The sequence below is a fragment of the Homo sapiens genome, chromosome 8, assembly GCF_000001405.40.
Source record: "Homo sapiens chromosome 8, GRCh38.p14 Primary Assembly".
NCBI classification, from domain to species: Eukaryota; Metazoa; Chordata; class Mammalia; order Primates; family Hominidae; genus Homo; species Homo sapiens.
The window spans coordinates 7,495,273-7,514,796 of NC_000008.11; the positions used below are offsets into that span (position 1 = coordinate 7,495,273).

The following is a 19,524-nucleotide window of genomic DNA, read 5'->3' on the forward strand; positions in this document are numbered from 1 at the left end:
TTTGCTAATTTTTCCCTGTGTTCTATCAGTTGCTGAGAGAGTGGTGTAAAAATTTTCTACTATGAATATAGAAGTGTCTATTTCTCCCTTTAATTAAATCAAATAATATAAAAACATGTTAATGGTTTTTATGTATTTTCAATGGATTAACCCTTTTCTCCTTAAGCAACAGCACTCCATGCAATACAGCGAGACCCTGTCAAAAAAAAAAAAAAAAAAAAAAAACCTGCACACGTACTCCTGAATTTAAAATTAAAGGTTTTTGTGTGTTTGTTTTAATTATTATTTTAAGAATAGGTTTTATGTAAAATCATGTACTAGGAAAAGCGTGGTGGCTATATATCTTATAGACATGGTAATACTTGAGATAAGACTTGAAGGAAAAATGAGAGAAGTCTAAGCAGAGACACAGAATAGAATATTCCAGGCAGAAAGGCAGGGTTCTCTGCGTTTGTCTCCCACAAATGTGGTTTAGTTAAAATCTGATCCATCAGCCCACACATTAGTCAGTGGAGCATGGAAAATAGTATGTTCCCAATGAACATTACAAACCGAGGATGACTTCCAGTCCCTTCAGGGCAGTAGAACATATTTTAATCAATGCCCCTTGATAAAAGAGCTTGATTCCAGCTACTGCACTTCCTTCATCAGCTCTCCACTGATGCCTGGAGCCATGAAAATATTTGTCTTTATTTTGGCTGCTCTCATTCTTCTTGCTCAAATTTTCCAAGGTAAGAGGGAAATTCTTCTAGAAGTAGAGATGACAGTCTGCTCAGGATCTGTCTTTTGAGATGAAAGCTCAACTTTTACAAAGTTGAAGGTTCCAAGGCAAACCAGTCACTGAAAATCTTTTCCTGAGCTCCGACACAAAACAATGGGACCACATTGACCGGGACCATCTCCATCCATAATAGTTTCTAGTCAACTTCCCTAACAGCTCTGCCAAGGAATTCAGACATCTTTGTACTTTTAGATCTCTTTCCTCCTTTGTAATCTGCAACGCAGGTTCAGCATATTCTTTTTTTTTTTTTTTTTTTTTTTTTTTGAGACGGAGTCTCGCGCTGTCGCCCAGGCTGGAGTGCAGTGGTGCGATCTTGGCTCACTGCAAGCTCTGCCTCCCAGGTTCATGCCATTCTCCTGCCTCAGCCTCCCGAGTAGCTGGGACTACACGCACCCGCCACCACGCCTGGCTAATTTTTTTGTATTTTTAGTAGAGACGGGGTTTCACCGTGTTAGCCAGGATGGTCTTGATGTCCTGACTTCGTGATCCGCCCTCCTCGGCCTCCCAGAGCCCTGGGATTACAGGCATGAGCCACCGCGCCTGGCCAGCATATTCTAAAGTGATTTCTTTAAAATGAAAAAAAAAAAAAAAAAAGAAAGAAAAGATTATCCAAGGAAATGCCAAACATATTTGTTAAGTTAGGGAAGTACAGCCTTTGTAGTCTAAATTAAACTAAAGTTATGTTACTAGATTCTTAGACAGCTAATTTTTTTTCATGTCTGAGTCGTCGGTCCAAATCTCTTATCCATACATTATTTTAGACTTTTTGGCTTTCACACACTGGTTGGAAATTATGCCATTAAAACCACTAAACTAACATCTTGCTTACTATTCTCTTAAGTCTTTGCGTCTTTGAGATTCTCTTTGCTTCATACAACCACGACTCTGTTCCTAAGAAATGTTTATGTCCATACCTCCTCAACTATCCTTCGTTCCTTCTGTTGTGAAGCTTTTCCTATTAGAGGTTCTCCATGCATCATGAAGCCCCCTGTCTGTTCCTTCATGGCTCCTGAATTTCTACATTCCTTTATTACACATTCTGTCCTCAGTAGTCCTAGAAAACCAATAGATATTGAATGTGTGCTAACCACTTGTAAGAAATTGTTCTGTCCACTATGATAAAGGTAGGTAAAACGAAGAGGTAAAAATATAAAGCATGGACATTGACCTTAATTTGCTTGAAGTTATTAGTCTATTCCTTCTATGTTGTTCGAAAATAGGTTGCTTGTAGTGGTAAATAAGCTTTCAATACATTTAACATGTATAAGTAAGTATATCAATGAGACAGGAAAATTCACAAATAACTTTAATATGAAACAGTTTTCACAAGTGCCATAAAAGATGCAAATTATAAAGAGAAGTCATAGATGTGGAAACTTGGTTCTAACTAGGAAATGCAGAAAGGCTTCCTGGGAAGTAGTATTTGTTTTGCACATTTGGAAATAGGCAAGACTAGAACTAAAGAACAGAGCCAGGGAACAATGTCCCCATGAAAGTTTCAGTGACTCCATGAAAGTCTCAGTTGTAAAATCAGTTCCCGATTTTCTGCCCTCAGCATCTTTTTGCAGATGTCAGACAATGCTCCAGAATAGATAAACTCATTTAAAATTGTCTTCTCCATCCACTTTAATCAGTACTCCAATTTATTCAGATCAGTCTATAGATGTGGATGCCTAATAGCTCCCTGTCCACAAAACTCATCTCAGATGTATTTGAATTACAATAATAAGCATAGTTTGGGCACAAATTAGAACCACCACCATCACCATAATCACATAGAATCTCAGAGTTAGAAGTGAATTTAATGATCAATATAAAAGGTGTAGGGGTGGGTTGCCCCTACCCACCTGTGGGTGTTTCTCGTAAGGTGGGACGAGAGATTTGGAAAAGAAAAAGACACAGAGACAAAGTATAGAGAAAGAAATAAGGGGACCCGGGGAACCAGCATTCAGCATATGGAGGATCCCGCCAGCCTCTGAGTTCCCTTAGTATTTATTGATCATCTGTGGGTGTTTCTCAAAGAGGGGGATGTGTCAGGGTCACAAGACAATTGTGGGGAGAGGGTCAGCAGACAAACACGTGAACAAAGGTCTTTGCATCATAGACAATGTAAAGGATTAAGTGCTGTGCTTTTGGATATGCATACACATAAACATCTCAGTGCTTTACAAAGCAGTATTGCTGCCCGCAGGTCCCACCTCCAGCCCTAAGGCGGTTTTTCCCTATCTCAGTAGATGGAGCATACAATCAGGTTTTATACCGAGACATTCCATTGCCCAGGGACAGGCAGGAGACAGATGCCTTCCTCTTGTCTCAACTGCAAGAGGCATTCCTTCCTCTTTTACTAATCCTCCTCAGCACAGACCCTTTACGGGTGTCGGGCTGGGGGACGGTCAGGTCTTTCCCTTCCCACGAGGCCATATTTCAGACTATCACATGGGGAGAAACCTTGGACAATACCTGGCTTTCCTAGGCAGAGGTCCCTGCGGCCTTCCGCAGTTTTTGTGTCCCTGGGTACTTGAGATTAGGGAGTGGTGATGACTCTTAAGGAGCATGCTGCCTTCAAGCATCTGTTTAACAAAGCACATCCTGCACCGCCCTTAATCCATTCAACCCTGAGTTGACACAGCACACGTTTCAGAGAGCACGGGGTTGGGGGTAAGGTCATAGATTAACAGAATCTCAAGGCAGAAGAATTTTTCTTAGCACATAACAAAATGGAGTCTCCCATGTCTACTTCTTTCTACACAGACACAGTAACAATCTGATCTCTCTTGCTTTTCCCCACATTTCCCCCTTTTCTTTTCGACAAAACCGCCATCGTCATCATGGCCCGTTCTCGATGGTCGCTGTCTCTTCGGAGCTGTTGAGTACACCTGCAGACTAACAACAGACAAAACAGGCACACAAGGATTAATATGAGATTTATAATTGTAGTACTTCCAATGGTCTTAACCCAAGTGACAGGGTTAAGATTTGCGAGGCCATCAGCAACTCCTGCAATTGCCTCAGTTCCTGGCACCAAATTTAAATGGGCTTTTGATGCTTCGAAAATTTGTTCTTTTAATTTGGAAATGTCTAAAGTGAGATTATCTTCTCTTCCCTGTAGATGGCGTCTAACCATGTCCCAGTGATGCTCAGAGTCATTATAAATTTGGGGTGTAATACAAAAATCTGACGTATTCCAGTCACACTGTAACTGGAAACGATGTTCTAAGCTCATGAGTCTGTCTCCCATCCAAATGACAGTTTGTCTAAGATCATTAATTTGATTTGCCAATTTTTGATCAATACTAGATTGTGAATTCCACAATCTTGTAGAATTCTTTTGCCCATCATTAACAAAGTTTACTGACTGAACAGAAGAGTGCAATGCAACTCCTGCTACAGCAGCCGTAGCTGTGACTGCAATTAATCCCATAATCACTGCAATTAAAGTAAAAATGAATCTTTTGGATCTATTTAAAACACCTTTTAATACTTCAGTCAAAATATGGACGGATGGTGAGGCCTCCCATGGTCGGTCCATGGACACAGGGATCCACACGCCCTCTCTTGCTCTCACCAGCAGAATACGGTGTTGCCAATTAAAAGTTGAATCAATGCAAGTAAGCAATCTACAATTTTCACAGGTTATAGTCTGGGAGTCTGGTTTAATAACTATATTTCCTACAACTAGCATATAAGGGGGCTTTACGCAACTTTGTAAAGGAAGTGTTAGACTGGAATTTAGGTCGACAGTATAAAATGGCTTACGATCTCTTGTTTCTAAAGTTTGATTTCCAGACCAAATTCTAATGTGGTGTGAGGCCACAGTAAGCCTCCATAATTCTGGATGTTCAGGACCAGAAACAGGACTTACTATTTTTGGTCTTGGGGTAGAGATTCTTTTTTCTCCCCATTCCCAAGGGTAGAAAGACTGCAATTTTTTATGCTTATGTTTGTCTAAACTTTCTGTTAAGTCGCTATCAACAGCTGGACTCACTTGTGCACTTGGACACGACTGAGTTTGTCCTGAGCAATTGTGGTAGAATTGACCTCGAGGTGCCCAATCTATAATAGTTCCAAATTCATTGTTTTGTAATATCACCGCACTATTGGCCACACATTCTTCCCAAACTAAAACTTCTGTATTTTTTGATTCTTTGGGAATTTCCTTGGGGCAAGGTTTCCCTTTAGGTCTAAATTTTAATGATCTTTGATAAGAAAAGTCTTGTAAATAATTTACCCGTGGCCTGAGTGACATCCCGCTTACCATGTGATAAGTGAATCTACTGATGGGACTGACAGTAGGTACTTCTACCAACCAATTTTGGACTGCAGGCATTAAACATCCTGGTGCTCTCCCTAGGCAAATAGGAGGATAACGATACCCAATGGAAATATTTATCATCATCCCTTCTTCCTCAGGTTTGGCAGGGCAGCGATCATCTATGGGGCCAGGTACCCATACACTATCATTAACATATACTTCTATAGGATTATCCATCCATGTGACTGCCCGAATTAAGGGCGGGAAAGGCACATAGGCCCAGTTGGTATAGTTAGCTACAGCTGCTCCTGCAGGCATAGGGAGACTTACCACCATTGATACAATCATCAAGGCTGCAAGCAGCATACTCTCTGGGGTTTGTGTCACCTTTGTGTTCTCTAGATATTTTGTAGCTAACTGCGTCAGCTTCTTTAGTTGTGCCCAAGTCGGCGGCTCTGCCTTCTTGGTGGATGGCAACTTCATCTGTTCTTCTGACGTCACCATTTTGTTCATCTTGTGAGTCAACGGTGCTCGATTGCGGTGTCTCCGTCTCCGCGGAGGTGCTTTTCTTTGCATCTCTGATGGGTTCATTGTAGAACTTCAAATGTCTAGTGGGTATCCAAACAGGAAGCTGATTTTCTCCTGGTGAAACACAAGCAAAACCTCTCCCCCACGTTATCACCTTCCCTATTTCCCATGTCTTATTTTTATTATCTTTCCACCAAATTAGTTTTCCTTCATGTGGGCTGTTCTTTTTACCAGTAAGATGTTGTTCTGCAGAAGTAGTAGTCTGATTTCTATAAATGTTTAAAAAATTTAAAGTATAGAGTGCTAGATTAAGTTGCATCTGAGGAGTGGTACACTCCTTACTGTCTCCCCCTTCTTTTTGTTTAACTAATTGAGTTTTGAGTGTTCTATTAGTTCTTTCAACTATGGCCTGTCCTTGGGAATTATAAGGAATTCCTGTTGTATGTGAAATTTTCCACTGACTTAAGAATTTTTGGAAAGCTTTACTACAATATCCTGGTCCATTGTCAGTTTTGATTTTTTCTGGAACTCCCATTACAGCAAAACAAGACAATAAATGTTTTTTAACATGGGAAGTACTTTCTCCTGTTTGGCAAGTTGCCCATATGAAATGTGAATAAGTATCAACTGTTACATGAACATATGATAATCTTCCAAATGAAGGTACATGCGTGACATCCATTTGCCATAATGCATTAGGACACAGACCTCTGGGATTAACTCCTGCCTCTTGAGTGGGCAGGTGTAAGACTTGACACTGGGTGCAATGTTGTACAATATCTTTTGCCTGTTTCCATGTGACATCAAATTTGTTTTTTAATCCTGCTGCATTTACATGAGTCAAAGCATGAAGTTCTTGTGCTTTTATGAGTGCAGATGATACCAGTAAGTCAGCTTGTTCATTTGCTTTAGTCAAAGGCCCTGGTAAATTAGTGTGTGCTCGAATATGAGTAATATAAAATGGGAAATTTCTTTTTCTTACAGTTTGTTGTAATAAATTGAATAGCTGGTTTAACTGATCATCCATGCTATATTTAATTAGAGCTGTCTCAACAACCCTTGTAGCCTGTACTACATATGCAGAATCTGATATAATATTGATAGGTTGGTCAAAATCTTGTAACACTGTAATGACTGCAACCAACTCTGCTCTTTGAGCTGATTGATATGGAGTTTTGATTACTCGTTCTTTCGGCCCTGTGTAAGCTGCTTTTCCATTGCTGGAACCATCAGTAAATACTGTTAGAGCATTTTCTAAAGGTTCACGTCTGGTAATTTTAGGTAGAATCCAAGTAGTCAGTTTTAAGAACTGGAAGATCTTTGTTTTTGGGTAATGATTATCAATAATTCCCACAAAATTAGCAAGACCAATCTGCCATGCACCAGAATTGATAAAGGCTTGTCTAACTTGTTCCTTGGTTAAAGGGACAACTATTTTGTCTGGGTCATTTCCACATAATTTTATTATTCGTAATCTTGTCTGACCGATTAATGTAGCTATTTGATCCAAGTACAGTGTAAAAGTCTTAACTGTACTGTGAGGAAGGAATGACCACTCCACAAGATCAGTATTTTGAATAATGATACCTGTTGGAGAATGTGCAGTGGCAAAAATCAAAAGTTGGAGTGGGGCTAAGGGATCTATTCTATTTATTTGTGCTGACTGAATTTTTTCTTCCACTAATTTAATTTCTTTTGTTGCCTCTGGGGTTAATATTCTTTTACTATTTAAGTCTGAGTCTCCTCTTAAGATAGAGAACAAATTTGACATGGCATAAGTAGGAATGCCTAGAGTTGGCTGAATCCAATTAATATCTCCTAGTAATTTTTGAAAATCATTTAGTGTTTTTAATGTGTCTTTTCTTATTTCTATTTTTTGTGGCTTAATTTTTCTATTTTCTATCTGCATCCCTAAATAATGAAAAGGAGTAGAGGTTTGGATCTTATCAGATGCTATTGCCAGTCCAGCACTGGCAACCTCTGCTTGCAGAAATGTATAACAGTCAATTAATTTATCTTTCGTTTCTGCAGCACATAAAATATCATCAATATAATGAATAATATAACAGTCTGAAAACTTTTTTCTAACTGGTTGAAGAGCTCGACCTACAAAAGTCTGACAAATAGTTGGACTATTAAGCATTCCCTGAGGTAACACTTTCCACTGAAACCTGGTGGCTGGTTCTTTATTATTTATGGCTGGTATAGTAAAGGCAAATTTTTCGCAATCCTGCTCTGCCAGAGGGATGGTAAAAAAGCAATCCTTTAGATCAATTATAATTAAAGGCCAATCTTTTGGGATCATGGCTGGAGAGGGCAACCCGGGTTGGAGAGGCCCCATGGGTTGAATTACGGCGTTTACAGCCCTTAAGTCAGTTAACATACGCCATTTGCCTGATTTCTTCTGAATTACAAACACAGGAGAATTCCAAGGTGAGAACGAAGGCTCAATATGACCCTTTTCTAACTGTTCATTTGCTAATAAATGTAAAGCCTCCAGTTTTTGTTTTGGTAGCGGCCACTGATTTACCCACACCAGTTTTTCTGTTTTCCAAGTTAATGGTATGGGTTTCGGAGGCTCTATAGTGGCCACCCCTAAAAAGGATACCCTATTCCTTCTCTTTTTTGATTTATTTTAGCCTCAAATGGAATTTTAATGCCATCTTCATTTTTCCCTAGTCCCTTTCCTGGTATATATCCCCTCTTGGTCATGATTTTTTGACTCGTGGGGCTATATAATGGAGCGGGCATGGTGATTTCCGCACCCCATTGTTGTAATAAATCTCGACCCCACAGATTAAGAGGAATTGAAGTAATCATTGGCTGAACAGTACTTTCTTGATTATCTGGCCCTAAGCAATGTAAAATCTCCATACTTTGATACACTTCTGAGGCTGTGCCTATGCCGACAAGTCCTATAACAGCCTTTTGTTTAGGCCAATTTTTTGGCCACTGATTTAAAGCAATGATAGAGACATCTGCTCCAGTGTCTACCAATCCTTCAAACTGTTTTCCTTGAATAATGGCCTTACACACAGGTCTGTTCTCTGAGACCTGACTTGCCCAATATGCAGCCTTTCCTGTTGGATCAGTGCTTCCAAGCCCTCCTATTCTTTTTATTTCACTATTTCCACCCTTAATATATGGCAGGAGTAATAATTGAGCAATCCTGTCTCTTGGACTGGCACTCCAAGGAATTGAAGAGCTAATAACCAATTGAATTTCGCCTTTATAGTCTGAATCAACCACACTAGTATGAATTTGAACTCCTTTTAGATTTAGACTTGATCTTCCCAAGATTAGTCCTACAGTCCCCTCAGGCAGTGGGCCATATACCCCTGTAGGGATTTTTTGTGGGGGCTCCCCTGGAAGCAGAGAGACTGCTTGTATAGTACATAAATCTACTGCTGCACTGCCGCTTGTGGCGGGGGACAATTGTTGTATTGTGGTAACTGGCTTATTCCCTGAAACACTTGGGACAGTGGGGGTTGTTGTCCTGAAAACCCTGAGGAACAAATGGCTGAATTGGGAATGCCCCAGTTTGTTGTGGGGCCTGAGGCTGGCCCCTTTGCTCGTTTCCCGACAATGGTTGCCCATTTTTATCAAATTTAGAACGACATTGACTAGCCCAATGTTTTCCTTTTTTACATCTTGGACATAAGTCAGGTGGCTCTCTACCTGTTGTAGTTGCTTGAATAGTTATATTCTGTTTGTTTAAGACTGGGCAATTCTTTTTTAAGTGACCAATTTGACCACAATTATAACATTTTCCTCCAAATGTTCTAACTTGTCCTCCTAAAACAACTCCTGTTATTGCTTGAGCCATAAGCATAGCTTTATGCATAGCTCCTCCGATTCCATCACAGGCTTTTACATATTCTGAGATTACATCTGATCCTGCAGGAACCTTTCCTTTTAATGGCTTAATGGCTGATTGACACTCAGGATTGGCGTTTTCATATGCCATCAACTCCACTATGACCTTACGGGCTTTTTCATCGGCAATTGACTTTTGAGCAACATCTTGGAGCCTTGCCACAAAATCAGGATAGGGCTCTTTTGAACCTTGTCTTACTGTATTAAATGAGGGGCAGGTACTTCCTGGGTCTTGGATTTTTTCCCAGGCTCTAAGGCAGATAGCTCTAACTTGCTCAATGGCCTCATTTTGCATTAATGCTTGTTGACTAATAGTACTCCAATTTTGACCTATTCCTAATAGTTGATCTGCATCTATGTTAACTGGAGGATTGGCAGCCCTATTTCTTCGGACCTGTTCTTGTACCCCATCAATCCACCAAGTCTTAAATTGTAAAAATTGAGAGGGTGAGAGAGACGATTTTGCCAGAATCTCCCAATCATAAGGAATGAGTCTATGTCCATGAGCAATGGAATCTAATAATGTCCTCATATAAGGGGAGTTGGGTCCATACTGTTTTACTCCCTCTTTCATATCTTTTAGCATTTTTATCGAAAAAGACTTGTATCTGGCCTCAACTGTGGGAGGCTCTCCCTCTTGGGCTCCTTCTCCAGGTGGCATCGGTTCTAACGTTACTGGGAATTGCCATGCCTCAGTATCTCCTTCCTTTCTTGATTTATCAATAATTTCATGTAATTCACTACCCTGTCTACTAGGTGGTGCCGTAGGATTAAGTCTCCTAGTGGGCGGCTGAGGGTATGGCTCCCTGCCCTGTGGTGCTGGGGGCATTCCTGGATATCCATACTGACTTTCTGGGGGTGGCCGATACTGAAGTTCAGCCGGAGGCCAGTATTGATAGGCTACTGGCGGTTGGGTCTTATTTTCTTTAACCTGCTTTTGAGGTTGTAATGTTACGGGCACCTGACCTGCTGGAAGAGGACTTGTGCCTCGTGGTTTAGACTCTGATGGCCCCACTAATTCTGGACCTTTTCCTTCTAATTTTAACGTTTCAGGATATATCACCTCCTGTAATTGATTATAGTCAACATTTTGCGTTGACTGAGCCATTACCGGCTCTGCTACATATTCGCAATGTAAACTTTCCGTTTCTTTCTGGGATTTTTTCCTTGTGTTTTCATTACAATCTATTAAACAGCTTCCAGGGGCATCAGAAACTGAAATGCTATCTTCTTCTGTTTGAAATGGTTCTAAAGCTGCTTTAATAATGGCCCAATCATTCCATACTGTAAGTGGAATGATATTACCCTTCCTACCTGCTTGTTTTAGTTCCTTACCAATTCTTTTCCAATCTTTTAGATCTAAAGTTCCTTGTTCTGGAAACCATGGGCAAAATTGTTCTATTATTTGAAATAGCTTGATTAGATTTTTTGTAGATACTTTAACTCCCCCTCTTTTTAAAAGAATTTTAATAAAGCTGAGATAAGAGGCATATTTACTTTTAATTTTACTTTTAGTTTGCCCCATTATCACCCTAGCTTCTTCCGAGCGCACAAGCTTACCGTAAGGCTGACTGTAGACGTACTCGGGATCTCTCGTCGACTTGTCCTCAATGACCACGCTCGAGCGTACCTTCACCCTAGAGAAAAGCCTCCACTTTGGGCACCAGATGTAGGGGTGGGTTGCCCCTACACACCTGTGGGTGTTTCTTGTAAGGTGGGACGAGAGATTTGGAAAAGAAAAAGACACAGAGACAAAGTATAGAGAAAGAAATAAGGGGACCCGGGGAACCAGCGTTCAGCATATGGAGGATCCCGCCAGCCTCTGAGTTCCCTTCGTATTTATTGATCATCTGTGGGTGTTTCTCAAAGAGGGGGATGTGTCAGGGTCACAAGACAATTGTGGGGAGAGGGTCAGCAGACAAACACGTGAACAAAGGTCTTTGCATCATAGACAATGTAAAGGATTAAGTGCTGTGCTTTTAGATATGCATACACATAAACATCTCAGTGCTTTACAAAGCAGTATTGCTGCCCGCAGGTCCCACCTCCAGCCCTAAGGCGGTTTTTCCCTATCTCAGTAGATGGAGCATACAATCGGGTTTTATACCGAGACATTCCATTGCCCAGGGACAGGCAGGAGACAGATGCCTTCCTCTTGTCTCAACTGCAAGAGGCATTCCTTCCTCTTTTACTAATCCTCCTCAGCACAGACCCTTTACGGGTATCGGGCTGGGGGACGGTCATGTCTTTCCCTTCCCACGAGGCCATATTTCAGACTATCACATGGGGAGAAACCTTGGACAATACCTGGCTTTCCTAGGCAGAGGTCCCTGCGGCCTTCCGCAGTTTTTGTGTCCCTGGGTACTTGAGATTAGGGAGTGGTGATGACTCTTAAGGAGCATGCTGCCTTCAAGCATCTGTTTAACAAAGCACATCCTGCACCGCCCTTAATCCATTTAACTCTGAGTTGACACAGCACACATTTCAGAGAGCACGGGGTTGGGGGTAAGGTCACAGAATCTCAAGGCAGAAGAATTTTTCTTAGTACATAACAAAATGGAGTCTCCTATGTCTACTTCTTTCTACACAGACACAGTAACAATCTGATCTCTCTTGCTTTTCCCCACAAAAGGTAATAAACATAGGTTATTAGGCCAAACTATATGAGTTTGGATCTCAGTGCTAATCTTTATAAGCTGTATGCACCCTGTGTTTTACTTGCCATTCTATAAATGATAATAATAATAGCATTGTTTTGAAGATGAATAAACTTGTTATATTAATTAGAAACTAACTTGTTATAATAAAGAATCTTAATGATAGAATGACTGAAGAAAGACAAAACCTTATTTCTCTTTCATGTAAAAGTCCAAAAATAGCTAAGTTGACTAGGTGCGGGTAGAGGGTTCTTTTTCACCAAGTTATGTTGTGATTTGGGCTGAAGGTCAACCCTGCCATCCTAAACAGTTGACCATTTTATTTGGTTCCAAGGATATTCTAACAGGCAGGGTTAGAAAGTATAGAACCTGATTAAGATTACATAGAAGCAGCTCACATCATTCCACTCCTTTTTCATTTTTCCAAATTTGTTCATGTGGACATATAGAAATAGGAAGCTAGGAGCTGATGTGATTAGCTAAGTATTCATGTGTCCAGCTAAACCCAGAGGTTCTATGACTAAAAGTCTGAAGGTAAAACTGACTGCTTTGGGACAGTTTAACAATCTCTCTGTATAACTGCTTGAGCAGTGGCAGGCACATACTCTATGCTATGTTAGAGTTTACCATTGTTGGTCATTTGTTCTTCTACTTATTTTTTTGTTCTCTGTCCTGATTCAGTATTGAACACCCTATACATGTATATATATATATATATGTGTGTGTGTGTGTATGTGTGTGCGTGTGTGTCTCAACTGATTGTCCAGTTGCCTGATAAATTTAAGTGATCTGTAGTTCACAGTATCCCAAGTTCAACTTTGGACTATTCAAAAATTTCTCCTTAATTTGAGCAGAAATCTAAGCCCCTGCAATTTCTTTCCATTAGTCTTTGCCTTAACTTGGCACTAACAAAATATATTCCACATGATAATATTTCAGATATATGGCAGCTAATATGTACTGTTTCTCCCCCAAAGTTGTTATTTCCAGGAATAAACATTACTCCTTTTGAGAAGAACTGCTACTTCTTCCACTATTGTTTCCTAAGAATGTATCTTACCAATTAAAAAAGATTCCTGTTTTGACATATTTTTTCCTCTTCAACCTAATCTCTGTTATGAATGAACACACATTGCCTATGTCTCTCTAAATTTGCTTGCCAGAGCTAAATACACGATTCCATTGGTGTTCTTTGCACAGTAAATTGAGAAGGACTAGCATCATGTTGTTTATCTTTCTACCTAAAACTGTGAGACTCCGAAATCATATGCCAGGGCATATGATCTACTATTGGCCTGCCTATAATGTAACAGAACAATCTTTAACTTTTGCTATAAATCAGAGACTATTTGGATACAGGGGAAAAAAAATCTGTTGGTAAGGATCGTTCATTGGAATTAGAAAGTATTTTGTCATCTTCCTTGGAAGAAACATTCTGTTTCTGTACAAGCTAGATATGATTTTGACATATGAAAATCTTTTCTGTTTTTTTCCAATTGGCTATTTAATAAGGACATTGATTATATTGTACCAGGGGTCTGAGCTCAGACATGACTGTTCAGATAACATCTGATTTTTCTAATTTCTAGGTTTATAGTCTGTGTCTCTAGGAGTTATGGTAATGAGGAAGTCTGAATTTGGCCTGGGCGATGTAATTTTATCTTACAGTTACTAATTACTAGATAACTGAAGACAAATTGCTTTCTTTACTTAGCCAGGACAGCAATTCATAGAGCACTAATTAGTAAGAGAATGGAAGGTCACTGTGAAGCCGAATGTCTTACCTTTGAAGTAAAGATTGGGGGCTGTAGAGCTGAATTAGCACCATTTTGCTGCAAAAACAGAAAGAAACATTAAAAACTAAGCACCAGCTGCAAGAAACAAAGAGGTGAAGATTCTCTGGCTGCGATATCAGTGGGATAAATCTCTCTGGACCATCTCTCTTTGATCTGCAAAGGTTGGATTATCTGAAGCCATGTCTGTCCAGTTCCCAGTGCTACAAGGAGATACCCTTCCTAGGCTGTGAACTTCTTCCAGGCAGACACTATATCTTGTTGACCTTTGCACTCTCAGTTCCTGACACAGGGCCTATTAATGATTTCTTTTACTTTATATAAATGTGAGCCATTGAATACACAGATAAAACAGATGGAATGGAATGGTTGGACTGGCACTCAGGTGAATTGAGTTCTAAAGTCATAGCTCTGGCTTTAAACAGATGTAGGACATTGGGCCCTCTGTGCCAGGATTCTGGTATCTATAATGTGAGCAGATTGAACCTCTCAGTAAACGGAATACCTGCTAGATGCTCATTGTGGCTGCTTCAGCAGTATCACTGTCATGTACTCCTTTCTCTCTTTTATAGGTAGGAACTCTTTAGATTCTTGTTCATTTACCTGTTCGATCTAAAACATCAAGTTTTAGAATGAAATGCACCCATATCAAAATTCAAGTTGGCTGTAGCTTGAGCAACATCTTCATTCTGGCCATTTGCAGTGAGAATTGATCAAATCATGGGTTTCTGAAGCAGTAAGTTCCCCAAAGGTCATCGAATTCAGTGCCCTTATTACAAATGAGGAGAGTGAGACTGAAGAAGATTATACAGTTACTGACTTAGTCACATTTATATTCCAACTTCGGGCTTTCTGGACTTGTCTGCTTAGCATGTCCACAAAATAGCAGGCTGGAAGATAATAGAACAACAAAAGGCAGTCCTAAAGATGGAACGTTTCTCAGCGGGTTCAGGTGAACAGTTAAATGGAGGAAGAAATTGAAACAAACTGAAAAAAAAAAAACCATAGAAAGAAAAAAAGACACTTTCTAAGAATCTCTTTTGTAATCCTGCAAACCCTGCCCTTTCAGAGCATAACAATGGCAAACTGAGGCTTACCTTTTCCCTAATTTGCCAAAATTTGGAGTCCCAGCTTTCCAGCAGAAGAAAGCATATATCACAGACCATTTCATCGTAGAAGATTTATAGTACACCATCCCAGAACAGAAGAAGTAAAATCCCTCTGCGCTGCTCTAGAAAATGTCCTTCTCTATTCAGTTAAGCTGGCTTCCTGTAGAGATGTAAATAAAAGAGGAAAAAAAATCTGGAACAAGACAACGTGTAAAATGTTTTAAAATAAAAAATAAAATGTGTTTTGAAAGATCTTCTGGTATTGCCACTTGTCTTCATGGTGCTAATTTTCTTATTCTGAAAACTATGCTGGAGGAAAATATGTAAAGTTATCTGTTTCAATCAGAGGATTTTTCTGTTCTGCATTTTCCCTAGAAATTCCTTAAACATTGTCTCAGATAAAACTAACTGCCTTTGAGAATCTAAGTGTGTTTAGACTTTCTCGTTTCTTCATTTTTTATTTTTCCTCTTCTTTCTCTGTCAGTCAAATGACTTGAAATATAGCATACATTTCCTGTCTCCAGTGTTTTTATACCCTGTTTCCTTCTCAACCTATAGAAATCTCTTAAAGCCAGGCATGGAGGCTCATGCCTGCAATTTCAGCACTTTGGGAGGCCAAGACAGGAGGATCCTTTGAGCCCAGGAGTTCGAGACCAGCCTGGGCAACATAGGGAGACCCCATCTCTACAAAAATTTAAAAATTTAGGCTGGGCACAGTGGCTCACGCCTGTAATCCCAGCACTTTGGGGGGCCGAGGTGGGCAAATCACAAGGTCGGGAGTTTGAGACCAGCTTGACCAACCTGGTGAAACCCCGTCTCTACTAAAAATACAAAAAGCAGCCAGGCGTGGTGGCATGCATCTGTAATCCCAGCTCCTTGGGAGTCTGAGACAGGGGAATCGCTTGAACCCGGGAGGCAGAGGTTGCAGTGAGCCAAGATCATGCCATTGCACTCCAGCCTGGGTGACAAGAGCAAGTCTACGTCTCAAAAAAAAAAAAAAAGAAAAGAAAAGCCCGGTATAGTGGCTCACACCCATAGCCCCAATTGCTTGGGGGCTGAGCCCTGGAAGTTGAGGCTGCAGTGAGCCTGATCATGCCATTGCACTCCAGCCTGAGTGACAGAGGGAGACTCTGTCTCAAAAAAAAAAAAAAAAAAAAGAGACCCTGTTTCAAAAGAAGAAGAAGGAGAAGAAGAAAAAAGAAGAAGAAGAAGAAGAAGATTATTTTAGCTCTCATCATACTATTGGAATTTCTCTTTATAAAGGTACCAGGTACCTCCTTAGTCAGTTAATAGTAGTTTTTCTCTTAATAAATTACCAGGGCCAACTCCAGTGACCTATGGCCAGTATTCATCCTTCAGGCCCTTTCTGAAACATTTTACAAGGTGATCTATCTCCTGCACCTTAATTTCTCTCTCTTCTGGCCGTGAGAATGTTTGTCTGCTGGACATTTCTCTTTGTCTTCTCCACACATTCTCAGTCTTCTTTGCTGACTGTTCCTCATATTCTCTTGGCTAGGATTGCTTTCACCTATGTTTCATTCTCTTCTTATTATACGTGTTATCTCCAAACAATCTCCTCCATTCTCATGGTTCCCACTCTTTATGGACTAATGACATGGTGTTACTTCTTTACTTTTATGATTTCTTTACTCTGCTCTGTGGTGCTGTGCTGGGACTCTGAAAACAGCATTTGTTATACTGCTTGGCCAGTTAGCTTCTTGTTAGCACCTTTAATGAAAGGTATTAGCAGGAGAGTGGAAAACAAGACCAAGAGTGAAGGCATCTGTTCTATGCCGTTTTTGTCAGCCCCATTCCAATAGCAGCAGATGGTTGGCTCCAGGCTTCAGGCTTTATATTCTTTCCACTTTCTCAGCAGCCCCACAAATATGCCAGAAAAGGACCAGCAGCATCCTAGCTCTACCTCCTTGGTTCTAAGAGGACCGGCTGAGCTACAATCTGCTTTTCTATGCACCTTGTCTATCCAAGCACCTGTTGGACCATGTCTCCTCCTCAGAAGTCTGAACACTGGCTATCAAGTGCCTCTGCCTCATTTGCCTGCACATCAGTCATTGAGCATTGCTCCCTTCAAATTTTAAGCGTGACTGATGTGGTGTAACCCACTAGGAGACATGGGCACCTGGTACTGTGTCTCCTCCTCATAGGTTCAAGCTCTAGCTGCGTACAAGTAAGATAATTTTGGGCGCTAGCCCATGAGAGTAACTTTACTCCTTTGTTCCTATATGTTAAAAGGCGATATCCCTTTTGTATGGTTATCTCTGTGCCTTTTCAACCTTCCATTACTTGTGTATCCAATTTAAGTTTACTGAGCTACTCTAAGTGGATTTCTGATAGGCACTTCAAAGGTAATGTCTTTATTGCAATTTATTGGTTTGCTTCCAAATCTGGCCTTCATTTAATATTCTAAATCTTAGAAAATATTACTATCGTTTACTTGACATTCAGGTTAAAAGTAGAGGTTTACTCAGGAATGCTTACTTTTCTGAATAAGTCACACAATTTACTCATGACATTAATCTGCATAAATTGCTTATTAATCCCTGTAAATCTTAATGCAATTATCTCCTTCCCTCTTTCTCCTCACTGATGTTGTTCTAGATCAGTGTCTTATTATCTTCAGCCTCTGCTCTTACTCTGTCAAACTTGGTGTTAACAAATTCATCCTCACTGCCAATTATCTAAAATTTACTTATAATTTGTGGATTGAACTTTGCATGAAGTAAAGGAATAGTTCTACTTTTTCATGATGTATGAGCACACACACGAGCATACACACACCCATGTGAATTGAAAAACCATAAAAATTAGTCTAAGATTTATATTCAGATGTCTACGAATCCTTAGAACACTCAAATATTAGAACTAGAAGTAGCCTTAGAGATCACTTAAGTCCCTGCTTCCAGAACTATATTGGTTAATTATAGTCAGTGTAACTAGCCTAGAATACTTATAATTAGAGCTCTATGCCCCACTCTAACACTTTCAAATGGGGATCTCTTCAGAATCTAAATTTGTAAAATGACTTTTCCAATTAAGTCTCCTGCACAGTGACATTTGAGACCTGTTGATCACTGAACACAGAAGCATCTGAGATCCATTGATCTCTGTCACACACCTCCAGTTAGTTGCAGAAATAGATTCAGGCTCAAATCCAGGATTGCTGCCTTCATGTCCAGTGGCATATCACTGTGTTGCACTTTTCCATTTGTAAAGGAGGTATGGAGAGGGCATGACCAAGTGGTTCACCTTGCTCAACCCCAGGAACAGAAGCTCAAACTTTATTGGGTAGACAGACACATGTACAGCAAATGAACATTCCATGTGTTAAGTTCTACATCCTGATCCGAGACCTGTGGGAGTTTAGAACATGTGCATTTAGACTAATTACGACTGGAGTCACTGGGGTCCAGAGAGGTTTCACAGACAAAATGTCCTGTGACCATTTAAACCAACTGGTTTATCAACTTAGCGTAAATCACTTTAACTGAAACTGAAGGAGTATTGCTGCTAAACTTCCTTTGTTGCCAATATATTTGTAGTTTATGTTCCCATTTGACAATTATTTCCATTCAAAACTGCTCACTTTCATTCTTCTGGGGAACTGAACCGAAAATGTTAAGGACTCTCTGTTCTCTTATGAAAGCCATTCTGCTCATATGGTGCACTTCTGTCCCTGATTGTCTATGTCGAGGTATAGAAAGGTCCTTTTCATCCAAACAAAGACATTCCACTGGCCCAGGTGAGCTGCTGACCAAAATGAAGCCACCTATCTTCTGTCTCTGTGGACACCTTCACCTGTGAGGACTATTATCATTCTCATTTGCCACTTAATTTTTTTCCCATTTCACTTTTTTTTTTTTTTTTTTCGAAACAAGTCTCACTAGGTGGCAAAACAATCTGTGGAAGCCTTGACAAGTTTAATGAAACTGAGACCTTGAGGGAATCCCCTGGGCAAAATCTCCACTATCTATATGTGGAGAAGGGGCTGTATGAGAAACCAGGAAAACTGATGACAGAGAGAACTGTAGTCTTCTAACCCGTGCACAAGCCCTTCCGGCTGTGTGAACAGCAGAGCGGGCCAGGTAAAGGCTGACTTAGATGAACTGCAGTAAGAGGTGCTCCAGGTGTCTGGATCCACCTCTCCTTCATCACTGAAACTCAACAGGATCTGAGTAGTAGAAAATGGGGCACTTTCCTGATTTTTTTTTTTTTTTTTTTTTTTGAGACAGGGTCTCATTCTGTTTCCCAGTCTGGAGTGCAGTGGCACCATCATAGCTGGGATTACAGGCACATGCCCCCATGTCTGGCTAAATTTTTTTATTTTAGTAGAGATGAGGTGTTACTATACTGCTCAGGCTGATCTCAGACACCTGAGTTCAAGCAAGCCTCTTTAGTGATTTTAAGAAACTTACAAGAGAGAGCTATGACAAAGCTCTGTTGACCCAAGGCAAACAGTGTAACAGGCTGACTTATAAGGATCACCATCAATCTTAGCAACCTAACCCATTGT

The 19,524-nt window shown here is 40.3% G+C and overlaps 1 protein-coding gene across 1 annotated transcript, besides 4 other annotated features; it reads left to right on the plus strand.

Annotated features, from left to right (window-relative positions):
- Positions 1-638: 638 nt before the first annotated feature.
- On the plus strand, positions 639-14,039 carry DEFB107B (defensin beta 107B). The gene is made up of 2 exons (NM_001040705.2): positions 639-731; positions 13,809-14,039. The coding sequence occupies exons 1-2, from the start codon at positions 662-664 to the stop codon at positions 13,949-13,951; spliced, it is 213 nt and encodes a 70-aa protein (NP_001035795.1). The 5' UTR covers positions 639-661; the 3' UTR covers positions 13,952-14,039.
- Positions 2,630-3,138: an enhancer, noted in NCBI's record as "OCT4-NANOG-H3K27ac hESC enhancer chr8:7355424-7355932 (GRCh37/hg19 assembly coordinates)". NCBI's record gives its function as "activates a minimal SCP1, AML or CMV promoter by ChIP-STARR-seq in primed H9 embryonic stem cells {active_cell/tissue: H9 hESC(primed)}" and the evidence as "EXISTENCE:reporter gene assay evidence [ECO:0000049][PMID:30033119]".
- Positions 3,139-3,645: an enhancer, noted in NCBI's record as "OCT4-NANOG-H3K27ac hESC enhancer chr8:7355933-7356439 (GRCh37/hg19 assembly coordinates)". NCBI's record gives its function as "activates a minimal SCP1, AML or CMV promoter by ChIP-STARR-seq in primed H9 embryonic stem cells {active_cell/tissue: H9 hESC(primed)}" and the evidence as "EXISTENCE:reporter gene assay evidence [ECO:0000049][PMID:30033119]".
- Positions 10,603-11,536: an enhancer, noted in NCBI's record as "OCT4-NANOG-H3K27ac hESC enhancer chr8:7363397-7364330 (GRCh37/hg19 assembly coordinates)". NCBI's record gives its function as "activates a minimal SCP1, AML or CMV promoter by ChIP-STARR-seq in primed H9 embryonic stem cells {active_cell/tissue: H9 hESC(primed)}" and the evidence as "EXISTENCE:reporter gene assay evidence [ECO:0000049][PMID:30033119]".
- Positions 11,537-12,468: an enhancer, noted in NCBI's record as "OCT4-NANOG-H3K27ac hESC enhancer chr8:7364331-7365262 (GRCh37/hg19 assembly coordinates)". NCBI's record gives its function as "activates a minimal SCP1, AML or CMV promoter by ChIP-STARR-seq in primed H9 embryonic stem cells {active_cell/tissue: H9 hESC(primed)}" and the evidence as "EXISTENCE:reporter gene assay evidence [ECO:0000049][PMID:30033119]".
- Positions 14,040-19,524: the final 5,485 nt, after the last annotated feature.